Source organism: Homo sapiens, chromosome 13, assembly GCF_000001405.40.
Source record: "Homo sapiens chromosome 13, GRCh38.p14 Primary Assembly".
Taxonomy (NCBI): domain Eukaryota; kingdom Metazoa; phylum Chordata; class Mammalia; order Primates; family Hominidae; genus Homo; species Homo sapiens.
The window spans coordinates 76725139-76740585 of NC_000013.11; the positions used below are offsets into that span (position 1 = coordinate 76725139).

Below are 15447 nucleotides of genomic sequence, written 5' to 3' on the forward strand. Positions count from 1 at the left end.
GGAGGGAGAGTTATCTATGGGTTTGTACTGTTCTGCTTTGTTTTTTTTTTTTGTTTTGTTCTGTTCTGTTTTTGTTTTGTGTTTCAGGAGATAGCATCTGTTGAGAGACTTTTAAAAATTGAAAGAATAGCTACCCCAGGTTTAGCAGAGACACATAAAAAGCTGTCTTTCCTGAATCACAAACAGCAGTAGAAAAAAAAAACAGGAGAAAGTAACTAAAAGGTCATTTCACACTCACAGCATTCTGAGTTTGGGGTTTTCCTTTTTCCTTTGGCCACTACACTGCATTCCATTTGTATGTTGTTTTCTTGATTTAGTCAAGAAAAGCAAGCAAATCAAACACAATTACTTGCCCGAGTTCCCCTAGCTTAGCATCATGAGAATCTGCAGTTGTTTTTAATGCATTTGGGATGCTCCTTCAGGCTATCAACAAACTCTCTCCTATGTTTATGAATTTATTTACTACTTTGGTGTTCCTACTCTCTTCACTCTTCCAGATGGGTTTCAATGGCATCTCTCCACCTTCCCTACCGTATGTAAAAGAGCACACCTGATGTTCACCCTCTGTTGTTGCTCTGCATTAGCACAAGAACAAAATGAGCAGAGGCATTTTAAAACATAAGAAACATACATACTAGACATGTTTTGAAAGCAGTAAAAGACTTGGTAAATTTTTCTTGTTTTCTGATTAAGTTAACAGAAGTTTTTAAACAGTCAACACATATTAAATTTACACCTACTACATGCCCAGAACTATAACCAGGCTCTGTAAGGGATGTGGCATTTTTAAGTACAGCACATGGTCCTTGTTCCTACACAGTTTAAATTTAACTGAAACAATTTAGAGATCACTGAAGGGACCCACAGGAGGTAGGGAGGCCTCAGGAGGACCAGAAGCAAGACCTTGAACAATTAGGATTCCTGGAGAGGCAAAAAGAGAAGAATTCAACCTTGAACAGCAAGATTAAAAGCACGAGGGAGGGAACACTGGGAATTTCCAGGACTACAGAGAAGACCTAAAATGAAGCAAGCAGAGAAAACCAATTAACATGTTAAAAGAGAGTTTCAATTATTTCAATTCTATGAGAAGGTCATTTTTCCTCTCTTTAGGACATCAAATATTTTGAATAGACATTATTTTTTTTCTCATTTATCTCAGGCTTTATTTTTTAAATACTAATACTTAATTTTTTCAGAGCAATTTTAGGCTCACAGCAAAATTAAGAGAAAGGTACAGAGATTTCCCATATATATCCCCTGTCCCCCAATATACACAGACTCCATTATCAACATTCCCCACCAGATTGGTACATTTGTACCAATGATGACCCTACATTGACACATCATAATCACCTAAAGTCCCTAGTTTACATTAGGGTTCTCTCTTGGTGATATACATTCTGTGGGTTTGAACAAATGTACAATGACATGTATCACCATTATAATATCTATCATTAAGGGCATTTCACCACCCTGAAAATCCTCTGTGATCCACCTATTTTCTGTAATGCACAAATTGCTTTTTTTTTTTTTTTTGGTAGCAAACTACATGGAGGACTTGAAGTAGTGTTTCCTAATAACCAGTGCATGACCTCTTTACTGCAGAAACCGCATGACAGCAGCATATCTTTCTCACACAGGCCACCCTTACTGCTCAGCCTCATAATAGTGGCATGGGTGGTGACATGGTTTGGCTGTGTCCCCACCCAAATCTCAAATTGAATTGTATCTCCCAGAATTCCCACGTGTTGTGGGAGGGACCCAGGGGGAGGTAATTGAATCATGGGGGCTGGTCTTTCCTGTGCTAGTCTCGTGATAGTGAATAAGTCTCACGAGATCTGATGGGTTTATCTGGGGTTTCTGCTTTTGCTTCTTCCTCATTTTACTCTTGCCGCCTCCATGTAAGAAGTGCCTTTTGCCTCCTGCCATGATTCTGAGGCCTCCCTAGCTATGTGGAAATGTAAGTCCAATTAAAGCTCTTTTTGTTCCCAGTTATCAGTATGTCTTCATCAGCAGTGTGAAAACAAACTAATACAGTAAATTGGTACCAGTAGAGTGGGGTGTTGCTGAAAAGATACCTGAAAATGTGGAAGCAACTTTAGAACTAGAGAATAGACAGAGGTTGGAACTGTTTGGAGGGTTCAGAAGAAAACAAGAAAATGTGGGAAAGTTTGGAAATTTCTAGAGATTTGTTGAATGGCTTTGACCAAAAGCCTGATAGCGATATGGACAATAAGGTCCAGGCTGAGGTGGTCTCAGATGGAGATGAACTTCTTAGGAACTGAAGCAAAGGTGACTCTTGTTATGTTTTAGCAAAGAGTCTGGTGGCACTTTTCCCCTGCCCTAGAGATTTGTGGAACTTTGAACTTGAGAGAGATGATTTAGGGTATCTGGCAGAAGAAATTTCTAAGCAGCAAAGCATTCAAAATGTGACTTGGGTGCTGTTAAAAGCATTCCATTTTAAAAGGGAAATAGAGGAGAAAAGTCTAGAAAATTTGAAGCCTGATGATGAATTCTAAATGAAGAAAAACCCATTTTCCAGGGAGAAATTCAAGTCAGCTGCAGAAATTTGCATAAGTAGCAAGGAACCTAATGTTAATTTCCAAGACCCTGAGGAAAATGTCTCCAGGACATGTCAGAGACCTTCACAGAAGCCCCTCCCATCACAGGCTCAGAGGCCCAGGAGGAAAAAGTGGTTCTGTGGGCCAGGCCCAGGGTCCCCATGCTGTGTGCAGCTTAGGGACTTGGTGCCCTGTGTGCCAGCCACTACAGCCATGACTGCAAGGGGCCAACATACAGCTCAAGCTGTGGCTTCAGAGCGGGGAAGCCCCAAGCCTTGACACCTTCCATGTGGTGTTGAGCCTGCAGGTGTACAGAAGTCAAGAGTTGAGGTTTGGGAACCTCCACCTAGATTTCAGAAGATGTATGGAAACGCTTGGATGCCCAGGCAAAAGTTTGCTGCAGAGGCGGGGCCCTCATGGAGAACCTCTGCTAGGGCAGTGCAGAAGGGAAATGTGGGGTCAGGGCCCCCACACAGTGTCCCTACTGGGGCACTACCTAGTGAAGCTATGAGAAGAAGGCCACCATCCTCCAGACCCCAGAATGGTAGATCCACCTTCAGCTTGCACTTTGTGCCTGGAAAAGCCACAGATACTCAATGACAGCCCATAAAAGCAGCCAGGAGGGAGGCTGTACCCTTCAATGCCACAGGGGTGGAGCTTCCCAAGATCATGGGAGCCTACCTATTGCATCAGCGTGACCTGGACGTGAGACCTGGAGTCAAAGGAGATCATTTTGGAGCTTTAAAATTTGACTGCCCCACTGGATTTAGGACTTGCATGGGCCTTTGTTTTGGCCAATTTCTCCCATTTGGAAAGGCTGTATTTACCCAATACCTGTACCCCTATTGTATCTAAGGAGTTACTAGCTTGCTTTTGATTTTACAGTCTTATAGGTGGAAGGGACTTGCCTTGTCTCAGATGAGACTTTGGACTGTGGACTTTTGGGTTAATGCTGAAATGAGTTAAGACTTTTGGGGACTGTTGGGAAGGCATTATTGGTTTTGAAATGTGAGGACATGAGATTTGGAGGGGCCAGGGGTGCTATGATATGGTTTGGCTGTGTTCCCACCCAAATCTCAAATTGAATTGTATCTCCCAGAATTCCCACGTTCCCCTCGGTCCCCTGGGAGGGACCCAGGGGAAGGTAATTGAATCATGTGGGCTACTCTTTCCTGTGCTACTCTCATGATAGTGAATAAGTCTCATGAAATCTGATGGGTTTATCGGGGTTTCTGCTTTTCCTTCTTCTTCATTCTCTCTTGCTGCCACCATGTAAGAAGTGCCTTTCACCCTCCACTATGATTTTGAGGCCGCCCCAGCCATGTGGAATTGTAAATCAAATTAAACCTCCTTTTCTTCCCAGTCTCAGGTATGTCTTTATCAGTAGCATAAAGACAGACTAATACAGGGGGTCAGGAGAAACTAGAAGAGCATGAAAGCCAGATTATAGGCCAAAGATGGACTGGCCTTGAATTTTTCTGTTTTGTGAGTTTTGTAGAGATTTGTCAGCATTTTATATATAAGTGATGTTCTAATTATTTTACTTGAACTTCATTGGAAAATAGAAATCATGCAAAAATCCATACACGGAGTGGACAACATGTACTTCATTAAAGTTTGGTAACATCCGTGAAAAAAATCTTACCCTTCCTTAAGGCAGTACATCACTGCAGAGACGCTCTATTTTTGTGTTTTGAAATGGAGCTCTGCAGTTTATTGTAAAACTGCTGGTTCTGTTGTTTACTATTGGAATTCCCCTGAAAGTTTCCTTCTTCAATTGAGCCAAAGTTCAGGAAAAGGTGTGACACAACCTGAAGACAAAAGGGAGGAAGTTAAAAACAGAGAGGCACTATTTAGTGATCATCTTGCATATGTCAGATCTCTACCAAATTATTTACCTGAATTATCTCATTTAATCGTTCCCACCATCTCACAAGATAGGCATTATCAGTTCCTTTTTATAAATGGAAAAACTGAAGCTTAGAGAGACTGGGTAATTTTCCCAGAGTCACATTCTAGTGAGTGATGAAACTAGGATTTAAGACTTATCTTTAAATATCACATATCAATCCATATGGAGGATGAAGAACATGAAGGAGGATGAAGAACGTGAAAGAGAAGGAGGTTACAGAGGATATGAAATTAAGTCATAAGGGAAGAACTGAAAAGGTGGCACTGGTGTCAAAACTGCTGATCTAGCATTCTGAAGCAAGAGAGTCACTGAAAAAAACAGTAGGATTAAAGAGCTCAGAATTGATGAGATACACCTAAAAAGAAAGTTAAAAGCTTGGTCTCAGCAATAAGTAATCTGTGCCCCTAAATTCTCTACTTTAATTATAAATTAGCTGTGTGGGCTCTGCTTACATGGTTATAGTTAAGCTGGGAAAAGAGATCTTAGAGGAGCCAAAGACTAGAAGCTTCAGGATATTGCCCATGAAGAGAAAAAGGTCTCTATTTTTACACCTGGATTTGTCACCTGGGTGGTGACAACCTCCTATGAAGAAGATCAACAGAAGAACCAAGGAGCAGAGCAGTTAATCTCTCTCAACAATACCATGTTTATCTTTAAAGCACATTAAATATCTGGAATATTTTGTCATTTTAAAAACCATTCGTGAGAAGAAATCATTTGGAAAGACAATACTTCATGCGTAATAGGGTGCTTTTGTAGGCTGGAAAGGAAATTGTATTGGATCAGAATGTGGATTTAGGCAACAGTCCTAGAAGTCCTTAGGGTCTTAGCACAAAAAGTGTCTATCCCTGTCACACGATGTTCATAGACATGCAGACAGATTCTAGCCACAGGTCAATAGGAAAGAACTTGAATCTTGATGGCAATGATATTCAGACACATTACAGATATATCTGCTGGAAAAATCCGAAGGAAGCCAGATATCAGGGAGAGACAGCTAAGTCCCTAAGAGAAAAGCTTTGTGAATGCGGAGATAATCTGGCATGGTGAGTGAGAAGTAGCACAGGACCTGAGCATCCAAAGACAAAATGTTAGCAGGTACAGTGCAAAGCTATGCACAGACACCTTACCCCTTATAACTCTGTCTCTTGGTAGTCCCCATGCCCTAGACGGAGGCAAAAGAAGTTCCTTAAAGAACACTTGGGCATCTCTGTCTCATGGGATTTTAGCACAATCCATAATCCTAAATATTTGCTCTTGTTACCAATACTGTTCAGGCCCCAGGAAAACTCTTCACATCTATTACCCTGTGATATGTTTTGGCTGTGTTCCCACCCAAATCTCATCTTGAATTATAGCTCCTATAATTCCCACGTGTTGTGAGAGGGACATAACTGGACATAATTGAATCATGGGGGCAGTTTCCCCATACTGTTCTCACGGTAGTGAATAAGTCTCACGAGATCTGATGCTTTTATAATGGGGTCCCTGTTTTGCTTGGCTCTCATTTTCTCTCTTGCCGCTGCCATGTAAGAAGTGCCTTTCACCTTCTGCCATGATTGTGAGGCCTCCCCAGCCATGTGGAACTCTGAGTCCGTTAAACCTCCTTGTCTTTATAAATTACCCAGTCTAGGGTATGTCTTTCTCAGCAGCATGAAAACAGACTAATACACTCTGATTTTGAAGGAAAATATCACTGTATCCAAATGCCATGAAGGTTTTTGGGCTGTGCCATTACCAGCTTCAGAAATCAATAATGCTTCAGAGTGCAAGCAGCAAAAGAGCTCAAGCAAGGGAAAAACAAATAACATGTCATAATCCTCTCAAGTACTATGAGTATAATGAATTCTTGCATAATGAAGTATAATTCCCCATAACTACTGGGCATCTGTTGTCTTCTTCTCTTTATGTTCCATATTAGGGCTCTGGAAGCACTCACAAATTAGTACAATATTCACAACTGTTGCATGTGGAAGATGAGGAATATTCTTTATTATTAAATACACCGTTCATGTCTTAAGTTAGACATATGTAAGTTTATACTCTTAAACTATACCTGAAGATACAGACATAGCATGCACAAAGTGAGATATTTCTTCACACTAATAACCAGAGGGACACTGATGACTAGGCTTAGTAGCAGTTTTATTTTTTATAGATATATTTAAATAATTTAATTTATATTCATAAAATTAAAATTAAAATTCCAGCTCCATTTAAATAATTGATTGAACTCTTTGATATTCATTCATTATAACTTGAATTTTCTCATTTAATTTCAATAGATCTTTTAAAAATATTTCATTAGAAAAATAAGCTTTTGGACACATGAAAGGATTTTATATTTTAATGTTTACATTTATTTTAATTTATATTTTTAAATAGAATTCAAATGCATTCAATTTTTTAATACTCCAAATAAAATTAAATTTATTTTGTCATTACTTAGATCATTGAAATTGAGAACAAGCTAAAATTATAATAGAAAATATAAAATGCAGTTCAGAAAAGTAAAAACGTTAAAATTTTAAAAATAGAAATTTTGTTGTAGTAAAGGAATATTTGTCAAGTAGGAGGGTAAGATATACTTTATATAATAGTATGTTCACTTGATTTACACTCAAGTATTTAGACCTTTTGTACGTGAATATTCTTATTCTGGGGTCCAAATATGTTGCAGGCAGGACTGTTTATGTACCCTAAAAAAAGAGAAATATGTAGAAAAAAATTCTTTAATATGCAAAGCTGTATCTCTAAGACCCTAAGCCACTGTGCCATGTGAATTTTGCCACTTTGTCACTGGAAAGCTTGGTACTATAATTGAAACAGCTGTATCTATTGGTGTCTATGTTATAAGACATCTCCCACCCAGCCACATGCCCAAGGAAGATCGCTGGGCTCTAAAAGGGGAAGGTGTTTTCTTACTGACTGAAGAGTGAAGTGAGCACATAGATCAGGAGGCAGAAGTCCACCCATGGCAACTCAGAGATAAACACTCCGGTCATTTGAAGTCAAGGGCAAGTTGTGCATGCCAAACAAAGCACCAATAGCTGCTCTCCAGGCCTAAGACACCAAGAGTGCTGACATCTATGAGGGCACCAGTGGCAACAAGAGCACAGGGACTGTGGCCTCCCAGACAGTGACTACTACTGCATACACGGGTCCCTCCCCTCTTCTGTCTTCTGGAGGATTACCTGAGTGACACAGCCACCATGACAAATCAGATCCTGCTCCTCACAAGAAGGGGCTGCTGATCCATTAGACACAAGAACTACAACTGTGCAAGTCACCTTACCCAAGTGTATTAGTCTGTTCTCTATGCCGCTAATAAAGACATACCAGAAACTGAGTAATTTATAATGAAAAAGAGGTTTAATGGACTCACAGTTCCACATGGCTGGGGAGGCCTCACAATCATGGTGGAAGGCAAAAGGCGTGTCTTACATGGCAGTAGGCAAGAGAGAGAGTGAGAATCAAGTGAAAGGGTTTTCCCCTTATGAAACCATCAGATCTCGTGAGACTTACTCACTACCAGGAGAACAGTATGGGGGAAACACCCCCATGATTCGATTATCTCCCACCAGCTCCCTCCCACAACATGTGGGAATTATGGGAGCTACAATTCAAGATGAGATTTGGGTGGGGACACAGCCAAACCATATCACCAGGTAACTTCCACAAGTGAGTGGAATGTAGGGAATATTCAGGTCCTATAGATGCCAATGAAAATATTTTGTGTAAATATAATTAATAAATTGCCATATCCCAAAGCTGCTCCTTAAGAAATAAATTATTATGCAAGACAAATTCATTTTTAAAAATCTCTTTGAATACAATAAAATTCTATTTTGAGAGAGAGCTAAAAATCTCAGGTTTTCAATTTTTTCTCCCAAATTTAAACTATACAATATGACATATGAGCTAATTTAAGAAGCCAAAAAGTTTTAAGAGATAACTTGGTAAACTTCAGGTGGTTAGTTTCTTCAAGACATAATAGTTACATTTTACTCTCCTAGGCTGTAAATATTATAGGCACCACTTAACCAAAGGGAATAAACATACTTGAGATAGATGTGGTCGGTTCTAAATCAAACATACTAAAGATGAAAATGCAATGGGAAAGGGTGGTTTCCCAAAGAATCAAGAATCCCATTATAATTAGCTTTTCCTGGGGAGATGATTCCATTCTTTTGCAATAGTCAACATTCCTTGAAAACAAATGGAAGTTTATCTGTCTCAGTGGGATCTTTGCCTCCAAGGAGCAATGCCACTTGGGAATTTATCTGTCTAGACATTGGTGAAAATATAAGAACTTTGCAGAACACATTCCATAAGTCTCCTGTCAAGAGGAACCTCTAACACCCTTCAGCTATGCTCAGGTCTTGCCATTTTCTCTGAAGTTCCACACAGGAGGCAGTCTTCTTGCATGGGTCCACCCTACACAGCGGGTGGGGGGCGGTGGGTGTGTGTGAAACAGACATCATGCGTTGGAATTGTCTGAATGGCTAATATTTTTCTTCTACTACTTAGGGTGATTTTCCTCAGATCATTTAAATTGGCATAGTATTTATTATACGTGTTAGCTATCCTGGAATTCAAACCAAGCATCTTAGTGTAACTGACGAAACAGCCCACACCGAAACACCAGTTTCCCACTTAGAACTTAGGCTGCGCAATTTTCCCGCTCCTCTCCCCATTTTGTTGCCTCTATTATGTTAGTGGTGTTTCCCATTAGAGGGTAAGCTATTTTAAAGCCAGGAATCTTTACTTAAAGCTACTAAAAGCCAACATTTAATGAGCACTTACTGAATGTCTGACATTGGGCTATAAGCTTCATGTGAATCATCTCATTTAATCCTTTCACAACCCTGCAAGGCAGGAATTTTTTTTTTTTTTTTTTTTTTTTTGAGACAGTTTCATTCTCGTTGCCCAGGCTGGAAGGCAGTGGCATGATCTCGGCTCACTGCAACCTCCATCTCCTGGCTTCAAGCAATTCTCCTGCCTCAGCCTCTTGAGTAGCTGGGATTACAGGCATGTGCCACCAGATCCAGCTAATTTCTATATTTTTAGTAGAGATGGGGTTTCACAGTGTTGGCCAGGCTGGTCTTGAATTCCTGACCTCGGGTGATCCACCTGCCTCATCCTCCCAAAGTGCTGGAATTACAGGTGTGAGCCACTGTGCCCAGCCTGAAGTAGGAACTATTTTTACCCTCATTTTACATATAGGGGCACTGAGGTTTAGAAAGATTAAATAAAGCCACCAAAAAGATCTGATCCCAGAATCCGTACTTTGAAGCAGTTAATTATATTATTTCTAAGAGGCATATTTTTCACATTTAAACAGCTCTGAAATTGTTAGCATATCTAAAACAAAAAATGTATTACAATGAAAATGGCAGTGGTGTTCTTTTTTAATGGTATGAAAACTAACACTGTATTTGACAACCTATGGAATATTCATTTCTGTAACTTTATATAGCCTCCTGTCCTGCTCATATTCCATTCCCCATAGGATCTGACTCCATCCTGACACATAGTAGACATTAAATAATTCTTACATTAAAATATGTACATTTATAAATTTAAATAATATCAAGTAACACATGATGGAAGGTGGTAGCTGTCTAAAATATGCATCTCTCTTACTTCCTTAGTCATTGAGCACAGATGTCTAGCTGGGTTCATGGCCTCTGGGAATAAAGACTATATTCCCAGCGTTCCTTGCAGCTCAGTGCACTCAGGTAATTAAGTTATGACCAATCAAGGTAAGCAGAGGTGATGTATGAAACTTCTGAGAAGTCTTCTAAGGCAGAGAGCATATCCTTCTTCACCCTTCCTTCATCCCACTGCCCAGAACATCACAGTGATGGCTAAAGCAGGAATGGCTCTTTTGGAACATGTAAATGAAGCCTGCACCTTAGGAACTGTGGAGGTGAGAGCAGGAAGGGGCCCAAATACCTCATACCAGCCAGGAACTGCCTCCCTCTCAACTTTTCACATGAGAGAAATATCATGTGTGTTTAAACGTATTTAAGTTCTCTGTCATGTGCACACTGGTGTAATCTTATCTGATACAGGACTTAAAACCTGAAATTGGAGAGATTCGTGACAACATTTAAAAATATTGCAATGGCTTAGTAGATGCAATCAAATAGTTGGCATTGAGAATTTAAGCACTGAGGTCTGGAAAGCTGACAGCATTCATTTTGCAGTGGTAAAACCCTTGGTCAAAATGAAACCCTCTGACCTTAAAAGGCAGATGACCTGCTGACTGAGGCTGCAGTGTAAGGAAAACGTAGTGTTTGCTAGCTCCTTCTTGCCACCTTTTGCAAAATTACTCAAGGTCGGAGCTAATGAGTCTGCAAGCAGAGATGAAGGAAACATCACTTGGCTGAGGGAAGCACTCTCTGCTTGTGGCCTCCCCTACAACTTGACAGAAAGACTCATAATCTGAATCCTGGCAGGGTTGAAAAAGTCAACATATGTACCCCAAAGTGAAGAGGGATTTTGTGGCAGCAGCAAAGCAGTAGCCTTAGCAGGAGATAAGAATGGTGTCCTGTCCTACAAATCTTATGAGCTTGCAAGCCAAAAATAAAAATAAAAGTGGTGTTTTGCTAAATAAATCCACTGTTAAAGCCATCATTAAGTTGGTAGAAGGGAAATAGGAAAAGCAAAGCCAAGAGATCAGTAAATTAAAGGCCAGAGACTTTAGAGTTAAATATAATCTCTCAGGGCCAAGGCAAGGGTGAGAAAGAAGAAGGCCCGGGGGGCCCAGTGTGGTGGCTCACTCCTATAATCCCAGCATTTTGAGAGGCTGAGGTGGGTGGACGGCTTGAGTCCAGGAGTTCAAGACCAGCCTGAGTGACAAAGTGAGACCCTGTCTCAAAAGAAACAAAACAAAACAAAAAAGGAAGTGCCCAGCACACAAAACTAAAGAAGCCCTCATTCTCAGGCTTGGGCAAGGGCAGAGCAGCACCTGACAGTGCATGCCTCCTTCCACTTTGTGCTTTGGGCACCTTCTTTGCCTCCACCTAGTCCAGGCCTCTATCATCTCTACATAAGATATTTCACTGTATGTTTCTTACCTATGGAACTGACCAGAAGCAAAGCAATTGTAAGCCTTTTTGTACTGCTAAAGCAACCTCAAACCTAGCCTACAAAAGACAGTGACAGATCAGTCCTCAAAGCAATGCTCAGGTCCTGGAACTACATCGTGGGGACTTATGCAGCCACAAGGCTTCTGCAACCTTCAGTTGGGCATTCTCTGAGGCTCACCTCAGAATCAACATGGGGACAAATGAACAAGGAATTAAAAATGAGAGAGCAAACCCAGTGGCCACAAGAAACAACAAGCAAGAGAGAATATCCTCCATGGACTAGATTCAGGACTTCCCAAGGGAAAAACCATGGCGCTTCCTCTAATGCCAAGGCAGAGAGTCCCACCCAGCAGGTAAGACAATTGCTGTGGAACAATTACTGCCATTGGTTCTCCACTCTTTTTTTTTTTTTTTTTTTTTTTGAGACAGAGTTTCACTCTGTCACCAGGCTGGAATGCAGTGGCACGATCTCGGCTCAATGCAACCTCCAACTCCTGGGTTCAAGGGATTCTCCTGCCTCCACCTCCCAAGTAGCTAGGATTACAGGTGTGCGCCACCACACCCAGCCAATTTTTGTATTTTTAGTAGAGACAGGGTTTCACCATGTTGGCCAGGATGGTCTCGATCTCCTGACCTTGTGAGCCGCTGGCCTCCACCTCCCAAAGTGCTGGGATTACAGGCATGAGCTACCGCACCCAGCCTCCACTCTCTTTTTCTAAATGGGGCTTTTGTCATAATTGTGCTCTTCTTACTCTGCCTTGGTATATTGGATGAGTATGGGGGAAGGGACCTATGCAGTTCAATTTCTGTGCTGCTATGGCACACAGAGCTGCATCTAGAACTGATGACAAGGTTTTCTAGTTATGGAGCTCAGTGCAGTTATTGGATGGTCTTATGGGTTGAATTGTGTCTGCCCCCAAATGCCTGTGTTGAAGTCCTAATCCCCAGGACCTCAGAATGTCGCCTTATTTGGAAATAGAGCCATTGCAGACGGAATTAGTTAAGACGGGGTCATACTAAAACAGGTGGGCCCCTAATCCAGTATGACTGATGTCCTTCCAAAAAGGGGAAATTTGGACAAGACAGCATGCAAGGAGAACACCATGTGAAGTGAAGGCAGAGACTGAGGGCTGTTTCTACAAGCCAAGGAAGGCTAAAGACTGCCACAAACCACCAGAAGCCAGGGGACAGCATGGGACAGATTCTTCCTCACAGCCGGAAGAAGGCACCAACCCTGCCAACATCTTGATCTTGGACTGTCTAGCCTCCAGAACTGTGAGACAAATTTCTGTTGTTTAAGCTATTCGGTTTGTGGTACTTGGTTATGGCAGCCCATGTGAATTAATACAGATAGGATTTGGGCATTATCTGCTCTGAGGAGAAGGTAAGGGTGTAAAGAAGAAATCATTGAGTAACCAAAAGAGCAGGCTGTGGCTCTTAGTGTTCCTAGTGTTCCTAGTGTTCATCTCCCCTTTCTTAGCAGTGCTATTATTGATTCTGAACTAGCTGCCTAGATTCCTTTGCAACTAGGTTTGGCCATGTGACCACATTCTTGCTGATAAGATGGAAGCGGAAGTCTTATATACAACTTACATGAGGTGTTTCTAAAGAGAATGGCAAGATACATCCTTCATTTTCATTTTTTTTTTTAACTGCTGGCTGGAAGATACATGGAACAGGAGGAGCATAAACAGCCCCCATCTTGGACCATGAGGTGAAAACCACATGCTAAATATGATAGAGCAACATAATAGAAGGACCCAGGATCCCTAACAACTACAAGAAGCCCACTACTATTCTCAAGTGCTTTTCTTTTAACTTCTTCAACATGGAAAAAAAAAGCCATTGTATCCTGTTTAAGCCATAATTACTTAGGATTTTCTGTCACTCAGAGCTAAATCGTGGCAGAGACAGTAATTATCATCCAGCACCCATTCTCCTCTTCTCCCTCTTAGTAATAGAAGCTTCAAAAGTTTAGCTCAGATACAGACTGACCCCTTCAGCTAATTGTGTCCATATTAATATATCTGGGCAATGAAGAAATGTAAGCAGAAGTGATACGCCAACCTCTGAGGCATGCCTTTAAAACATTGCCCATATACTCCCCACTCTTTCCTCACTTCCCATGAGTAGTGAGTCAGTTTTGACCATGTGGATAGGGACATGGAGACGGTAGCACAAGAGAGATGAGGCCTGGGTCTGTAGATAACCCTGACAATACATCTGCCTACCCATAGGCTGTTACGTGACAGAGAAATAAGCTTTAAGTCACTAAATTTTCAGACCTCTTTGTTAAAGAAACTTAGCCACTGCCCTAATACATGATTTCAATCACAGGAGATACAGCTTTAAAGCCAATATTTTCAGATGCACTATAAACTTTGCTTCAAAATCATAGTGGGATGGAGGACTTTTAGAGAAATGACCTGAAGAGCAGGGTTGTTTGGAACATCCTGTGGAATTTCTAATTTGTTCCAAGTAACCTGAGAGAATGTAACTTTTAGAGGCCCTCCTGAGTCCTGAGGCCAATCTTTAACTTGTGACCTAATCTGATCTCTAGATCAAGCCTGAAGCTGGATTTATGAGCTACAATGGGGCTTGCTTCTGTCCCTTCCCCTTCAGGGTAATACCAGGTGTCCACTGGCCAAGCTGCCAGGATAGCCCCAGTAGCTTATTACACTAGTTTGTTAAGTGGCACAAGGATGACTACTGTGCAGTCATATTGACAATATGGATGCCAGAAAGTTTAATATACACCATGCATCACAGGCAAAGGGGACAAAAGAACCAGGTGACATAACTGATGGATCAAACAGACTCATCACCTGTGCATAACTGGTTTGCATGTCCCTTTTTGAAGCAATGGAGACTACATTAATTATACTTCTTTCCATCACCAGTTACTCGGCACTCCCTGGTAACTCCCACGTGGGTAAAGATTCTACATCTATCAGCAGTTGCAGATCCCTGGCACCATCTTTACAAATGGGCTTGCACAGATGAATTCAGCTATTCCAGAATTTTTCCTGGCCCCACAAAAAAAAAACTCCCCAGATGTCCCATCTCTTGGTTTATATGCCACTGATGATAACTTTGATATAATCCATGTAACTTTGTTCTTGTAAAGAAAGCTAAACTGAAAATTTGAGTATAACTATACTCAAATGAGAATGACCTGCAGTGCCTCTCATTTACATGTCATAAAAATGTCTGAGGGACAAATAAGAGTCATTCTAACTAATCTTTAAAATGATATTGCAATGTCTATTTGGAGCAAGGTAGTAATGTATTCAATTCAGTTGAAGCCAAGATATATCTGTGTATATCTGACAGTGTATATCTGACATGTTCATGGGAAGTTCACTTTCCAGCCCTGGTGACAAGGCTTTAAAAGCCTACAATGCACACAATACCCCCGCACGTCCAAATTATCTGGCTAAATTCACATTTATGGAGATTATTGCCAGATGAAATTTCTGCCAAAACTTAAATTACAAAACTTAAATACAAAGAAGTCGACCAAAGCAAAACCTGTAAAAAGCAAAAAGGAAAATAGTCCCTGAGGGGAAAAAGAAAAGGATTCAATCTCGTTTATAGAAACTTAAATCACTTGTTGTGGCCTTGCACCAGGGATACCTCTAATGTATGTGGCAGATTAAAATAAGTTGCAGACTTCTGCACCTGATATCACATTCCTGCCCCATTATTTGAAGCTCTCGGTTGTCTCTTTCCTGGCTTCATTTTTGAGACTTTCAGTCCTACGTCTTTTCTTACAGGCTCCTTTAATTGATAACCTCTTAGAACCCACAGTTTCCATCAACAACATCCCATCCTTTCCTGTCCCCGAAAAAGTACACTACATCTTTGGATCTTGACA

General features: G+C 41.0%; 1 long non-coding RNA gene across 6 annotated transcripts in view; it reads right to left on the reverse strand.

Moving 5' to 3' along the window:
• Positions 1-15447, reverse strand: part of LOC105370265 (uncharacterized) — a 94000-nt gene that overhangs the window by 13031 nt on the left and 65522 nt on the right. For 5 of the 6 annotated variants that reach the window (XR_001749923.2, XR_001749925.2, XR_942096.3 and 2 more), the window contains one exon: positions 4207-4372. This is a non-coding gene — a long non-coding RNA (uncharacterized LOC105370265). Of the gene's footprint in view, positions 1-767; positions 1017-4206; positions 4373-15447 lie in introns of those variants that run through there. The other variant, XR_942097.3, reaches the window with a different exon arrangement.